Here is a 15,698-nt window from a genome sequence, read left to right as displayed (position 1 = left end):
ACCATGTTGGCCAGGCTGGTCTCAAACCCCTGATCTCAAGTGATCCACCCGCCTTGGTCTCCCAAAGTGCTGGGATTACAGGCGTGAACCACCATGACCGGGCGTGGATGTAGTTTTTAGCCAGGCAGTCAGAAGTATGCGTTGCCTGGACTTGGAATTAGTGCCTGAAGTGGGGCTGGTCTCATGGGATCGAGCCGTCAATCTGTGGGATTGGACACTATCTGCAGGTAGACAGTGTCAGGATTGAATTGAATAAGAGGACACCCAGTTGGTCTCTGTGAGAAATGTTTGGTGTGTAAGGAAAAGCCCCCACACAGCCAGCCACAGAAGTGTGCTATTGTTGAGTGTGAGAGTACAAGGGAAAAACAGTTTGCTTTTTTGCTTTACAGTGGGATATTTGATCCATAGGTCTATATCTAAGCACATGAATAGAATGTGTTTGGGCCTGGTTTTTTAGTCTTGCTGGTCAGTAACTAGTTTGACAAGAGAGACTAGCACACTGATCCCAAAAGAACTAGGCCAAGAGCAGATAGGATTTGTGGAAACTTGAACCTCTTATTAGCTCCTTAAAAGACGTACTTTTCTAGACTTCTTTGGAGCCTGGGATTCTAGTACTGGTGAGTTTCCACCGGCAGCAGACTCCCTGAAGATTTGCTAGCCCTCTGCAGGGTTGGCAGGCCACTACCACATTTAGTTGGCTCCTAGGGTATGTTCCACACCAGACTTCCCATTGTGGGAAGGCCAAGAGAACTGAAGAGACAGTCTCTACTCTGGAGGTGGGGAAGTGGGGGAGGTGGTAATTTAATTAACAGTAGGTGGTGGGTGAGGCGACTTGGTAAGGTAAGAGGACACACAAAGGAAGTAACTGCAGTAAACCTTAGCTGGCAGCACAAGTGAGGAGGTGTGCTTGAAAGAGAAATGGAGTGTCTGGAAGTGGGTGAGTATATTCTGGTAGGTGTGACAAAGGCACTGTTCCTCCAACACCAGTCCTGGGAAAGGCATATGATATGGTTTGGTGCTGTGTCCCCAGCCAAATCTCATGATGAATTATGAGCTTCAGTGTTGGAGGAGGGGCCTGGTGGGAGGTGACTGGATCATGGGGGTGAATTTCCCCCTTGTTGTTCTCGTGCTAGTGAGTTCTGAGATCTGGTTGTTTAAAAGTGTGTGGCACTGCCCCTTCACTCTCTCTCCTGCCGCCATGTGACTATGTACTTGCTTCCCCTTTGCCTTCCCCATGATTGTAAGTTTCCTGAGGCCTCCCCAGCCATGCCTCTTGTATAGCCTGCAAAACTGAGTCAATTAAACCTTGTTTCTTTATAAACTATCCACTCTCAAGTAGTTCTTTACAGGAGTGTGAGAACAGACTAATACAACATGGGATCCCAAGTAACTATGCATTCAGAGAAGAAACACAGGTATGTTTGGGAACTGGATGATGGAAGGTACAGGGAAGCACTGTAGGTAACTTTCATGGGTCCTACACTCTACAACATATTCTTGGGGTTGGAATGAGTCAAACAGGAGACTGATGTCCAGGATGGAATTGGCTGTTTATGTTCCCATGTGTAGGTCTCTTCCTTAACAGATCACGGTAGCTTCATTACAAATGGCCTGGGAAGCGTACATAATGCAGAAACCCCAGCAAATTCTTACAGGGGTTAGTCATGCAGTTATACATTTTCATTCTGGGATTTCTAGGGGCTTAATAAAATTCCTTCATTGGATCATTTAATCCAACATAAATTATTTCCCTACACCTACTTTATACTTGCTCCCTGATTTCATACCAGTGAGTATAGCCTGATGTAACTAAACATTCTGAATTTTCAGTGATCAGTGATACCCAGAGAAGAGTGTGATAACCAATTCTCTCAAAAGCGATTTACTGCAAATATTTTCATTTACAGTAAGTCCTTACTTAACATTGTGGATATGTTCTTGGAAACAGTGACTTTAAGCCAAACGAGGTACTGTGTGGCTTCATAACTCAACTCTTTTTCCTATCAATTAGACTATGGGAAAACTGGTTTCGTATGCATTATGTCCTTTTGCTTAAAGTGGTAGTTTCCAAGAACCTATCAATGACATTAAGTGAGGACTTATTGTAATCTGATATCTGCGGGTGGATAATTTAAGGAACACATACATAGTTAAGCCTGTAAACTGCTGCAAGTTCCAGATATTATCAGTTCTATTTCTCCACAATTACAATTCCAGTTTTGGGGTTTCTTTTTGCTCATTAAATTTGAAAAGCCAATTCCAGTTTTAAAGCTTGACCCTTTTCTTATAACTTTTTTTATAACTGATAATATATCAGTTATATCAGTTATATTTCTTAGGCTTCCCACGAAACCCTCAAACTGACTCTGAGGGTGGCCTTGCTATCTAATTTACAAAACCGGTTATCTTGGTTTGTGTTCATTTTATTTCCCTTGCATACATTGCTTAGCTGCTTCTGATTATATGCCTCTTAGCCACGGCTGGATAGAAAAGTGTAATAAGAGAAAAGTGTAACTAAGAGACACAGAAGAAAGAGAAATTCCATGAGCACCAGATACTTTTATGGGTGCCTTTTGGAAGCTCTAAATTGAGATGTATCTTTGTTGTCAATTTATGCTATGAATCCAAACGAAAAATGGGGGGAGAAAAACAAATAGGCTGTAGATGAAAGTGGAAGAAGAAAAATGAGTCTATATATATATATATATTAGCAGTTGTATGAAAGTATATGAGTCAATATTCCATCAATACCTAGAAAAATAGTAGATCAATATGCTGATTTTAGGGGTGGACACAAAAGTGTTATAAGTGTCTTTTAACTTTTCTTTTTTCCCTCCTTGACTCTGAAGAGAAACACCATTTTTTCTACGTATGCAAAGAGTAAAAATTCAGAACTAACATGCAGGGATTAATAGCAGTGAATTGCAAACTCAACTCAGTGGTATAGTACCTGGCAACATTATTACTCAGCATATTTCCCTGGCTGAGGCTGACTTCATTTAAAGTAGTTTTATACTTGTGCTAAAAATAAGTGTACATCCCATTAAGGGAGAAAAGATCTTCTACACAATGGATTGGACCTACATAACCTTATGTACCAGAGAGGAAAACATCATTCTCATGAGTCGCAAAGCTTTCTTCTTCTTGTCAATATGATAAACAGTTTCCGGAAGTTGAGAATGACGCTGGTTACTTTCCTTCCTCCTGAACATGCCACACTGAAGAGACAGGGATGACTCCTTCCCTATGGGACAGACACACATGTAGCTTTCCCTGGGTTGTGGAGGAAGGCATGGCCACAACACCATTGGCAGTCTGCTGCAGGGACCTCACGATGAGAGGAAGCAATGGATGCCTGGGCCAGGGAAATGCATATTTGGGAGAAAGCAGGAAATTCTGATGTAGAGATAGGGAAGAACCCTGGGGAAAAGGACCCAAGCTGGGCGGGGAGGAGGAAACCACCAGGATCCCAGGATCAGAGACAAAGGACCCAGGGACACAAACAAAGTGAGGCCAGATGGAGAGGGCAGGCTCACGGGGAGAGCAAGCTCACAGGGAGAGCATGAGCCAAACCTGGCTTATTTCACACTCATCAGAGAGACTGCACAGATGGGGCCAAACCAGGGCCCAGGAGCATCGGAGAGAGGAGGGCCATTTCAAAGACTTTTGTAAAATAAGCTCAAAGTTTCTTTGTTTATTTGTGGGTGTGGGAGTGGAAACGTAGGGAAAGTGAAGAAAGTGGGGGAAAAGGGATGGGTGATTTTGTAGGCAAGATGCTCCCTGAGGAGGTCCTGGTGGACCTGCTGTGGGGAGTGGCATTCTGCACACTCTCATATCATGGGGAGCGCATGACTACATTACTGCTTACACATCTCCAAGTGCAGCTTGGGGGGTGAATGTTTAATTGTCTCACTGTAACTGTCTAAATCTCTGGAAAATGTGAAGGGTCATGCATTTGATTTAAACCTATGAGGTCTGAATGAATTCTCCTCCATGCCTAACCGAGTGAAGCAAGTATATAACCAACCATGCATCCCTAAGCAGGGCCGGTATGAAAGGGAGGAAACGCCTCCCCACTGAGCTCGCAAAGAACTTCATCACTGACCTGAATCAGATCCAGCAGGAAATGAAACAATGAGTACATACTTTTACAGTAGAGGGAGGGGGACGGAAAACAAAGTGAGCTGAACTGAAACGTGAGAAAGAACAGAATGGCAGTGAGTCCACGGGGCAGGGCCGCAGCTTTCTTTTTTCATGGCCCTCAGTCCAGTAACCCCACCCGGCATTCGTAGCGGGTGACATCATTGATGCCCAAACATGCTCCAGCAATTTCCTGCTTTCCAGAGTCCAGCCGAGCCATGATGTCAGTGGTGCACCTGGGTAAAGATATGGCAGGGCCGGGTCACAGGGAGTGGGGACAAAGGCCAACCCAGTTAAATAAACTGCTGGTCTTCTAGGGCCTGGTCCCTAGGCAGGCTTCCACCATGAGATAGGTATAGCCCAGGCCAATCCCAACAAGAGGAAAAAAAGCATGTACTTGGCCGGGGGCGGTGGCTCACACCTGTAATCCCAGCACGTTGGGAGGTTGAGGCGGGTGAATCACGAGGTCAGGAGTTTGAGACCAGCCTGAACAATGTGGTGAAACCCTGTCTCTACTAAAATTGGAAAAAATTAGCTGGGCGTAGTGGTGGCCACCTGTAATCCCAGCTACTCGGGAAGCTGAGGCAGGAGAATCGCTTGAACCTGGGAGATGGAGGTTGCAGTGAGCCGAGATCACACCACTGCACTCCAGCCCAGGCAACAGAGTAAGACTCTGTCTCAAAAACCAAAAAAAGAATGCACCCATGCAGTGCCTCCTGTCACCCTCTGCCCAGAAAGGGCACAGGGGCCAGGGTGAAAGAGTTACAGGAAGACAGAGGGAAGGAAACCATGCAGACATAACCACATGGGGGCAGGCCCTAAGCTGCTGGGACCTCCACAGTGTATCCCTTTCCTCCAACTGGGAGACGGAAGCACCGATGGTCTTTCTCTACAGTGCCAGGAGCCACCCTGCCCCCAGAGATGCCCTACAATCAATGACTACCATCTAAATGCTTCTGGATAGTTTCATTCCTTGTAGGTGATATTCCAAATATTATAATTTGTACTTCTCCACAATTACAATTCCAGTTTTGGGGTTTCTTTTTACTCATTAAATTTGAAAAGCCAATTCCAGTTTTAAAGCTTGACCCTTTTCTTAAAAGTTTAACTTCTCTTTTTATTCAGGCTTCCCACTAAACCCTCAAACTGACTCTGAGGGTGGCCTGACTAATTTACAAAACCGGCCAGGCTGCCTAACCCCTAGATTCCAGCCCAGAGTGTTGCCATAAATTGCTGTCAAGACATGCCTCTATGTCCCATGTTTGCCAGTGAGAAAAGGGTTCATATTCTAAGTTCTTCAATTCTCTCTCACTGCCTCAATGTGAAGTCAATGGAAAACAGTCAAATACACCAAAAATTAACTTCAAATGGATATCTGCTATGAATTCCAACTTGGTTGGACACCTCTCCAGGCCAACTGTTGTGAAAATGCATTGTTGTTTTAAAAAACACTGTGAGAGATGGCTGGGCGTGGTGGCTTACTTGAGGTCAGGAGTTTGAGAACAGCCCGGCCAATATGGTGAGACCCCAGTCTCTATGAAAAATATAAAAATTGAGCCAGATGTGGTGGCATGCACTTGTAGTCCACGCTACTTGGGAGGCTGAGGTAGGAGTATCACTTGAACCTGGAAGGCGGAGGTTGCAGTGAGCCGAGATCATGCTACTGCACTCCAGCCTGGGTGACAGAGCAATACTCTGTCTCAAAAAAAAAAAAAAAAAAAAAAAAAAAAGAGAGCGAGAGAAAACACTGTGAGAAGAAAGAAGTCAATCACCCCCTCTCCAATGCCCAACACAGTAAGCAAGAAGGGCCCAGGAAAAAATTAACAGGGAAAAACAATCTTGCATTTGCTTAGTGGAATCTGGGGTTTGCACACATTAGTCAGAGCTAGACAAATCATACTGAATACACTTCTTATAGAAACATTCTAGCTCTTATGGCCTTTCCTTGCTGTCCCAACTTTTGAGGTGCGAAAACACAGCAACACAGCCAGGACCGGCCAGGTGATGGCACGGAGCCCGCTCCCACAGGCTGCGTGTGTGTTCTCACTCTCTTGCAACTGGCCTGAGTTAAGCCTTCTCCCCAAGCACTTGCAGTTTATCATCGCCCTATTTACTGTATTTTCATGTTATAAAAGTGATATACACCCAACGTAGTAATTTGATCTATACAAAAAAGAGAAGAAAAAAAGCTACTCATAATATCACTGTCTAATTTAAGGTTTTGGTGTAGTCTTTCTAGTCTTTTTCTATATGGAATGTAATTTACTTCTCAAAAATATCATTTCATATACTTTGCTTACATATTAGCATTTTTGTCATGAAATTTATGCCAACTGATTAAACAGCCCTTGTAAATTACAGAAACTTAAAGACAATATCAAAACAATGTGACCACAAGACAAAGACCACCTACTACTAAATTATTTTTGGCATGAGATTATTTTTTGAGAAGTTTTATAAACTATTAGGTTTATTGAACACTATAAACTGTAATCCTTGAAAGAATTTTGGAAGCATACGATAACAGGGTAATTTGTAGTAGAATATAGGGTTGGAAAACCTTAAAAAACACTTGCTCATTTCTTCCTATATCAAAGATTTGTATTAGAAAATCTATTTCTTACAAAAAGATGTACTAAGTGGTATTATGTCAGTCAAGCATCTTGTATTATTTTCTAGCTTTCAATAATATGTATAATGTCATAAAAAAGAGGGAAGAATACACAAAATACATATGAAGCTTACTAGGAATGAAGAAAGTTATTTTAGGAAGGAAAAATTGGTTACCATCAAGGAATATGGAAAACACTAGCAATGCATGTAAGAATGACCTCAAAGGTCTTAGACGTCCACGAGCTGGGAATGCTTGTGCTGGGTGCTTCAGTTACAACAGCATGGGGAAGTTAAATAGACTAGTGAAGCTGTTACATCAGTTAATAGTATTTATTATTATTTGTGGTCACCAATGCCAATTAAGACAATAATTAAATAGAACATGATGAAATAATTCAATGGTAGGAAAAAAAATCTGGCCTACAAGTGAACATGGAAAGTAAAAGTAAATATTTAGAAAGTGAAATCAGGAGCGGAAAAAAGCTCCAGCATCTCACCATGGGGTCTTCCAAAGCCAGCAGTACTGGAGATGTTTATTGTTCAAAGATGGACTTGCTTGGGTTGGGATTCTCCAACTAGAGCCAGAGGGGAGATTCTCTGCTTCCCTTGAGGACACAACAAGAGAGGCTTTCTTATAAAGCCTGCCACATTCTGTGCCTGTATTGTTTTATTTACTGGAGTCTATCATAAGGCCTGTGAGGAAAGGACTGAATCTCTTTCTCATAGCCGTTGGGCTGATGGCCCTGCGTGCTGTAGGCATTTAATAATTCACTGAGTAAATGAATGAACCCTGCAGGAGATTGGGAGCCTTTCTGATCTTGAGGTCTCAGTTTGGACTATCTTTCTGGAGTGGATAGACGAATATGTTTTTCAGCAGCACTCTAATAAGCGCACATTGGGTGACTAAGCAGAAGAGTGATTCGTTTTGCTAGAATTTTCCAACCTGCAGGAGCCAGTCCCCCTGGTGTCCCCATTCCCTGTCCCCTCAGTCATCTCAGCAGGAAATTACTATCCTTTCTCCCACATGGGTGATGAATGTTCAAGGCATTTCAGCACACTGTGGTAAGGCCCAGAATGGGTTCAAGTAAAAGTAAATACCAGTCCTTATTAGGAGATCCTGGCCCCTCTGCTGCATGTGTCCCAGTACACATGCAGCTTCCTGCTCTGTCATAGAAAGCAGCCCTCTAGGGCCACTGCCTCCAGTGAGAGTTTCCTGACCTCCAGGAACTTCTGTAGTCAGGCACCACTCCCTTCCCTCACACCCAACACCCTATTGTTCCAGATTTTATCACTGTGCACTGATGCTCACTGCGACCCCACATGTGGCCACAGGAGGAACTCGGCTGAGGGCTGAGAAGACCAGATAATGACACAGAGGGCTCACTTCAGGAAACCCAGAGAGCTGCAGCGGCTCCTCCAGGGCCATTCCACGCATTCATTTTCTAACAAGTCATAAGTCAAAGAGTGACATCAGGAGCGGACAGCCTGGTGTCCAGGCATGAGCCATGGCAACAGATTCTGATTTCCCAGAACGGCTTTGGTCTTTACCTGGTGTTGGATATGGTAGTGTTAGCTGGAGTGGGAGGAGATTCACATTGTATATTTGTTTAGTGACTCCAAAGATTTTAAATTATATTGTGTTTTTTATTATTTTATTCCATTTTTTTAGAGACAGAGGTCTCACTCTATCTCCCAGGCTGGAGTGCAATGATATGATCATAGGTCAGTGTAGCCTCAAACTCCTGGGCTCAAGGAATCCTCCCATTTCAGCCTCCTGAGTAGCTGGGACTCCAGGTGTGTACCATGACTCCTGGCTAATTTTGGTTTAAGTAGAGATACAGTCTGGCTATGTTGCCCAGGCTGGTCTTGAACTCCTGGCCTGAAGCAATCCTTCTACCTTGGCTTCCAAAAGTGCTTGGATTGTAAGTGTGAACCACTGTGTGGGCCCTGGTTTTTGTTTAATGGCTATTAAATGCTCAGAAGTGAATTAAGGTTGCAGTTAAATGCACAATTTTTATATCAAACTATTTTCTTTGCTAATTCACTTCTATCTGCGTCTACCAGCTGTAAACTACCTGAAGCAGAGAAAGTTTCTTTAGGTTGGGGCTTCCTGTAGCCCCGAGCTGAGTGCCTTATGCAGCATTGGCCGAGTGCATGAATTTGTTGGGTGAACTGCTGCGGGGTTTAGAGTCCGCAGAGGGTAGGACAGGACAGATCGTGATCGAGGCTAACCTTCTCATCTACTCTACCATTTCATGCTCTGTTTGGGCACCTCCATCACCCCTCACTTCCCCTGATGGTCCAGTCTCTCTGGGCCTGCACTGTCCAGCCACCCTCTTATCCCTAAGCCAAGGCCTTTGCCAACTAAAGCTCAGGAGTAAAGTGGCCATCACTGAGGCCATTCTATGTATGTATGTATGTATGTATTTAGAGATGGAGTCTTGCTCTGTCACCCGGGCTGAAGCACAATGGTGCAGTCTTGGCTTACTGCAACCTCTGCCTCCCAGGTTCAAGCAATTCTCCTGCCTCAGCCTCCCAAGTAGCTGGGATTATAGGTGCCCGCCACCATGCCCAGCAAATTTTTGTATTTTTAGTAGAGATGGGGTTTCACCCTTTTGGCCAGGCAGGTCTCAAACTCCTGACCTTGTGATCCCCCCACCTTGGCCTCCCAAAGTGCTGGGATTACAGGCATGAGCCACTGCACCCGGCTGACTGAGGCCATTCTAAGGAATATACAGCAAGCTCTTCACTACCCATTTTTGTTAACTGAGGTATAACTAAATGATACACAGGCCCAGCACAGTGGCACGAACCTATAGTCACAGCAACTTGGGAAGCTGAGGTGGGAGGATTGCTTGAGATCAGGAGTTTGAGTCCAGCCTGGGCAACACACGTGTATAGGTCTATGAGTCTGGAAGAATGTATATAGCCATGGAATCACTACCATGTCAAAACATAGGGTATTTCCATTATCCCAACAAGTTCCCTCCTGCCCCTCTGCAGTCAAACACTTCCCTCCCCCAGCTCCTGGCAACTGCTGATCTGAACTGTAGACCTGAAAATGTCATTCAGAACCCATTTCATCTGGACCCTTCTCTCTGTGTCAACATTGCTGTGAGCGGTGTCTGTGGGATTTTTCTGGACGTTCTCTGCCATGCCCCTGCTCCTTCCTTCCTGCCTTCTGGAAGGCACCCCTGCCAGGAGTCGGCTGCATTAAAGTGGGTGTTTCAGGGGTGTCTTCCTTTACTCTCTTCTCACTGATTTCCAGCTATCCCTGTGTCTCTTGTTTAATGAGTGCCTTCACCCATATCCTTAAACCCACCAGGGCGACCTTCCTGCCCCTTTCTTTGGAGAGCTGTATCTGTATTTCCAGTGGAGACACAGACTGTTCCTTAGATCCTATTAACCCTCTGAGCTCTCTCTCTTCAAGCCAGGCTCATTTCTGGCTTGGCCAATCTGCCTCCTCCCATGTCCTTTCCATGACACGGTGATGGCATCACCAGCCAGTCACCAAGCTAGAACAGTCCCTTCACCCGGCCCCTACTGTAGGAGGATACTTTTAGAGTATGTCTGCAATTCACCCCCCACTCTCTGTATCTACTTCTGTGGCCAAAGTGCGGACCTTGATTTCCTCTGGCCCCAGCTGAATTAACCCACCTCTCTGGACCTGGTTCTCTTTTCACTAAACATTCTCCACATTGCTGCCAGAGCTATTTTTCTAAAATACACATCAGACCACATTCTTCTCCTCCTTCTTTAAAAACAAAAAATCAAAAAAATAAAAAACCAAGAAACAAACAAAAAACCCACCCTACCGTGGCTCCTCAGTGTGTAGAGATCAGATTCAAGTTCCGTGAGATGGTCTTCAAGATCCTTGGCCATGTGACCCCGTCCTGCTATCCCAATCCCATTCCCATTCCCATCCCCAGCCTCCCCACCTCATCCAACTCCAGCCACATTGGATCACCCCAGGAGAGGATGTCATGTATTAGTACTCTGGTGCCTTTGAGTCAAAACTCACTGTTTTGCCAGTTCAGAGGTTGAGCCCTTTTTGAAGAATCCCCTCTTCTTCCACAGCCCAGGTAAGTTCTACCCCAGGCATAATGAGCTGTTATCCCCCTGGGATCTGAGGGTATTCAGAATACCAACACAATGCTCTCCAGATACCTCTATGCTATTCAAATCCATGCATCTCACACCTGCTCATCTTAAAATCTCTGTGCCTCACATGCAGGAAGAATTCAAATGATGCTGATTGAAAAAACATTGTGTCCAATATTAGATGAAGCATGTAAATATCAAGGCAAGAATCTGCACTTTTTGTCTGTCTATTGCTTGTTTGCACAATAGAGCCACATGGTTTATTATAAAAAATTATTATAATGTATGCTGTTTAAGCTCAGATCACTTTGCACTAATGATGATGATAATGATGGGTTAGAATTTTTTTTCTTTTCTTGCCATGGGATCTGCCAGGTTTTAAGAATTCTTTTTTATTCTAAACCAAATTCAGGAGCACTCCCAAAGACAAGAAATCAAATTTAGGCCACTGATGGTACCAACGGAAGGCTATCACTGTGTAGCTATACCAAATGAAGCCAATCTTCATGGATTTTAAGCACTTTGATAAGCTTTTATATCTCTGCTCATCTCCTTTACCTCCATAGATAACACAAAATAACAGAATAATCAACCAATAGCAACGTAATCCCATCACAACAACATCAAAAATGAGAATTCATATGATTCAGTAATTTCCTAAGCCAGAACTTCCCACCTGATGTGCTGGGGAAGTGAGAGGGTGAGGACTGCTTTCCCCAGCCCTTAGGGTGACTGGGCAGATCCTGTCTGGTGTGAGCATTCAACCCTACTGATTACATCATTTTGGGTGCTATGTGTGACAAAGGTTGACAACCACTGTCCTAAGCCATTCTACCATTTAAATAGACTGAATTCTCCCAAGTTATGTTCTTACTTGCCTTAGGAAGGAAATTAGTATTATGACTCTAAGGATCCTGAACACATGATCTAAAAAAAGAAAAACCCAAAGCACAATGGCAAAGGTAGGTGAGACAGAGTGTTTAGAAAAATAGCGAATACTGTACTATTAATTACTCCCAATTCTCCCTAATCCATGATTTTTAAAGAGCGGGTGGAGCATAACGATTTGAGGCACTGCGACAATGCAGAATGGGGAGGGATTTTGGAAAATGTGACTCACTCACCGTTCCGACCAAAGGGTAAATGAACCCAGCACCTATGCTGGCCCGGACATCACTGATAGGTAAGATGAAGTCCCTTGGCACACCTTTTTTGTCAGGTTGGTGAGACAGAGAAAGATCGGTCTTTGCCATGCAGATGGGCAAATTTCCAAAACCCTGTAAGAAAGGAAAGAAAATGTGTTCACTGATATAGACGTGAGTCTCCTGTGTTTTTCAATTTGCACTTTATACAGTCTCGGCAGCAATGGTATGCCAGCTCAGATCCAGGCACACGCAGGAGCTGCTTGTTACTACTTGTTCACTGAAGAAGCAAGAAGGTGAGGATAAAAACTCATCTCCATGTGAAGGATAAAAACTCATCTCCATGTGATGACTGTTTAGTAGGTCAGGGGTGACTATTGTTTATTTTGGAGGTTCTCGTTAAGAGAAGGCAGTGTTATGTGCATGTTTGGGAAAAGCATTGCTATTTGCAGGCAAAGCAGCAGCTGTAGAAACCGCTTTCCAAGACTATTAATATCCGGGACCCAGCAAGGTAGTCTGGAGAAAGGCTCTGCGACTAGGCTCTTAGTCATGTTGTTCACTCATTCTGGAGTCAGTCAAGAAGCAAAGGGTTCCTTTGTGTTGGTTTATGAATCATGGTTATTTGATCTGCAACTACATTACAAGAGCTAAGATGAGGTCACTATTTAAGCTTCTTGTTTTTAAGGACCAAAGTCTATGTCTGACCCAGAGTTCCAAAGGTGAAAGAGCAGGAAGTCACATGTGGTGTCTCACAAAAAGCACAGTGTCCTATAAGCCTGTTTCTGATTAAATGGCACACAGTGTTCCTTTAGAGGCTTTGCTAATTCATTGCAACCACATACTTGGCACTAACTTTAAAAAAAATAAAAATAGAGATGGAGGTTTTGCTATGTTGCTCAGAGTGGTCTCAAACTCCTGGCTTCAACTGATCCTCTGCCTTGCCCCCACAAAGTGCTGGGATTAGAGGTGTGAGCACCGTGCCTGGTTGACACGACTTTTAAGGAGTATTTCCTTGATAGAGATAAAGGGAATGAAATCTTTAGTCAAATTTTCATAAGACTTAGCCTAAAACTATTTGGAAGATCTTAGAGTCTTATCAACTTAGGGAGGACTTGGGCTTGGGGCCATTTTCTTTTTGAAATCTCCACTCTTCTATACTGATAAGAATTTTGCTGAGTGAGAATCACAACTGCCTTTCAGAATGGTGCCAGAATTTTGAATTTCAGACATGGTTAAATATTAAAGTAATTTCTACAGGTTTGCTAATGTAAAAATTTTGTTAGTAGGCATGGCATATTAAAAAGAAACAGAAACCAACCAGTATGCTATATACTGTCACCAGATTACTTCATAAAAGAAATAACATTTTAACACTGAAAGGAGAAAAGACTTAATATTACAATAAATGATAGTCTTAAATATCATTATTAAAAACTCGGGGAATAAAAAACAAAGCAACCTCATGAGAATGACCTTATTTTACTTGGTTCATTGCACATGAATGAAAACTTCACCACAATGCCTAGGCACAGAGCAGTGCTTGGGAATCCTTTTTGTAAAGGGTAAGCCAAGAACATCAGGGAAAATTCTAAGAATTTAGAACTTTCTGAGTTCCTATTTTACCAAACCTAGGAGAACAAATACCCTGGCTGGCAATGGTAGCATTTAACAAAATTTCAAATGGGTTTACAAAAAAGAATAAGGAGTTGGAGATTGTTTTTAAAGATAAGGTCAACACTACCAATCATGAAGCTCTTTAGCCAACAGGCTCTTAAAATGTTCTGACTTCTATCTATCTGATTACACCAAAGTAGGAGGGACACTGGAGGCACATGGTCCTTTTGGTAAAAGGTGGCTGAGCCTCCTGTAATGGAGTTGATTCATCATGACTGTCACTGGACTAGGTGATGACACATGCTGTCAGATCGTAGCCACCTTCCCAGCTGTTTGCCTACTTGCCTTTCTCAGTGGCTAGAGGTAGAAGATGATGGAGCCTTCAACCTCAGTGGACCAGCTCAGTAAAAAGCCAATGAACCGCTTGCATAAGAACAGCAAACATTCCCATCTTTATAGGCTGCACTCCTATCTGCCTACCCTGGCACCTTGCTAGCATTTTTAAGGTAGTAAGAGGCCTGTAAGGAAGAGGAAGCATTGCAATTCATGCAAATCTGACTCCGCAGCTCTACTCCAAAGGATAGTTTCAACGTTCTGGGCTGAGTGGGAGGGATGAAAGATCACACATCACCTACAAACAGGGATACCACCCATATCAGACACATTTATAGTCACAGAAGTAAATGGTGCATGGATCAGAGGATACATGCCTCACCATAAAGTTCTAAATATAGTGTACACTCTACCCGAGGATATTGCTTTCATCTTTGTTAACCAGAAAATAGATTAAGCAAAGGTTAGCTGGTGAGACATGTACAAATCCTCAAGTCAAGCTGAGTATTCTGAGAGCCTAAGGTGAATTTTTTCTTTTCCCCTAAAAGTACAACTTTTACCTGCTGAGTGTAACGATCTATTTTGACTTGTGCCTCAGGACAGAGTTCGATATCTTTGGCTCCATAGACAGCCTGGGCAATGGTCCTTATCTTGTCCACAATTGGAAGCTGCAGAAACACAAATTATAACAAAATTGTGTAAGTTTAATCTGGTTAAAGATTTTTTAAAAAGTTTAGTGACACTTACTGTAATTGCTTAAAATTCCCTTATCAGGGTACCCCCTCAGCAACTGCAGGATTCCTTGCAAACCCTCTTTTTTCCTTTTAGCACCCTAAAGCACTGAAATTTTCAGTGTCAGAATAGATCAGATGTCAACTAGCAAATAAGCCTTAGGTGTTCAGGCAATTTAGAGGCTGCTTAGAGCCCATGTAGAATCTGCAGAGGGAGGCCGGGCACAGTGGCTCACACCTATAATCCCAGTACTTTGGGAGGCCGAGGCGGGTGGATTACCTGAGGTCAGGAGTTCGAAACCAGCCTGATCAATATGGTGACACCCCGTCTTTACTAAAAATCCAAAAAAACTAGCTGGGCTTGGTGGTGCATGCCTGTAATCCGAGCTACTTGGGAGGCTGAGGCAGGAGAATCACTTGAACTGGGAGGCAGAGACTGTGGTGAGACAAGATTGTGCCACTGCACTCCAGCCTGGGTGGAGTAGGACTCCGTCTCAAAAAAAAAAAAAAATCTGCAGAGGGAAGAGGGAAGTTAGTGCCTTACAGAGGGCTTCTGACTAGGAAGCCCCAGAACTGCGGCCGACCCCTTCCTCTCCCTGCCTCACCCCTGCAGAAAGATCTGCAGAAAAAGCTGGAAGGGGTGGGATGGTGTGTGTGGGGGTGGGGACTGGGGCTATGCAGTTTCCAGACCTGGTCTTTGGCACCCTCTACAGGACAGTTCCATTCCCACACCTGAGCTTTGGACAACTGAATCCTATGCCCCTTCCCACCCAGGGAACCTGGTGCCAGAAATTCCCAGGACTTACCCACCATCCACCACGCCACATAGCAAGTGTCCTCAGTGTCTGCAGACCAGAAACAACTCCCTTGTGTCTCAGCACCGGGCCACCTGCTGAAACCCCAAACTGCCTGCCCCATTGTTTGAGACCCAGTCAGGCCTTGGCTCCAAAAGTCCTCTTGGACTGCCACTGGCCCCCAGGGTCTCTCCTGACTGCACCTCGGTCCCGGAGCTCCCACACCGCTG

General features: G+C 44.1%; 1 pseudogene across 1 annotated transcript in view; it reads right to left on the bottom strand.

Annotated features, from left to right (window-relative positions):
* The window catches only part of LOC102724580 (methylenetetrahydrofolate dehydrogenase (NADP+ dependent) 1 like pseudogene), a 78,514-nt pseudogene extending 63,233 nt beyond the window's left edge, over window positions 1-15,281 (bottom strand). Inside the window, exons 1-3 of the transcript NR_136300.1 lie at window positions 14,955-15,281; window positions 14,504-14,611; window positions 11,979-12,131 (exon numbers count right to left, since the gene is read on the bottom strand). The product of NR_136300.1 is annotated as a methylenetetrahydrofolate dehydrogenase (NADP+ dependent) 1 like pseudogene (transcript). The remainder of the gene's footprint in view (window positions 1-11,978; window positions 12,132-14,503; window positions 14,612-14,954) is intronic.
* Window positions 15,282-15,698: the final 417 nt, after the last annotated feature.

This window comes from Homo sapiens, chromosome 9 (assembly GCF_000001405.40).
Source record: "Homo sapiens chromosome 9, GRCh38.p14 Primary Assembly".
Lineage (NCBI taxonomy): Eukaryota > Metazoa > Chordata > Mammalia > Primates > Hominidae > Homo > Homo sapiens.
The sequence above is the reverse complement of the archived record's forward strand: the minus strand, read 5'-3'. Positions and strand labels throughout refer to the sequence as shown.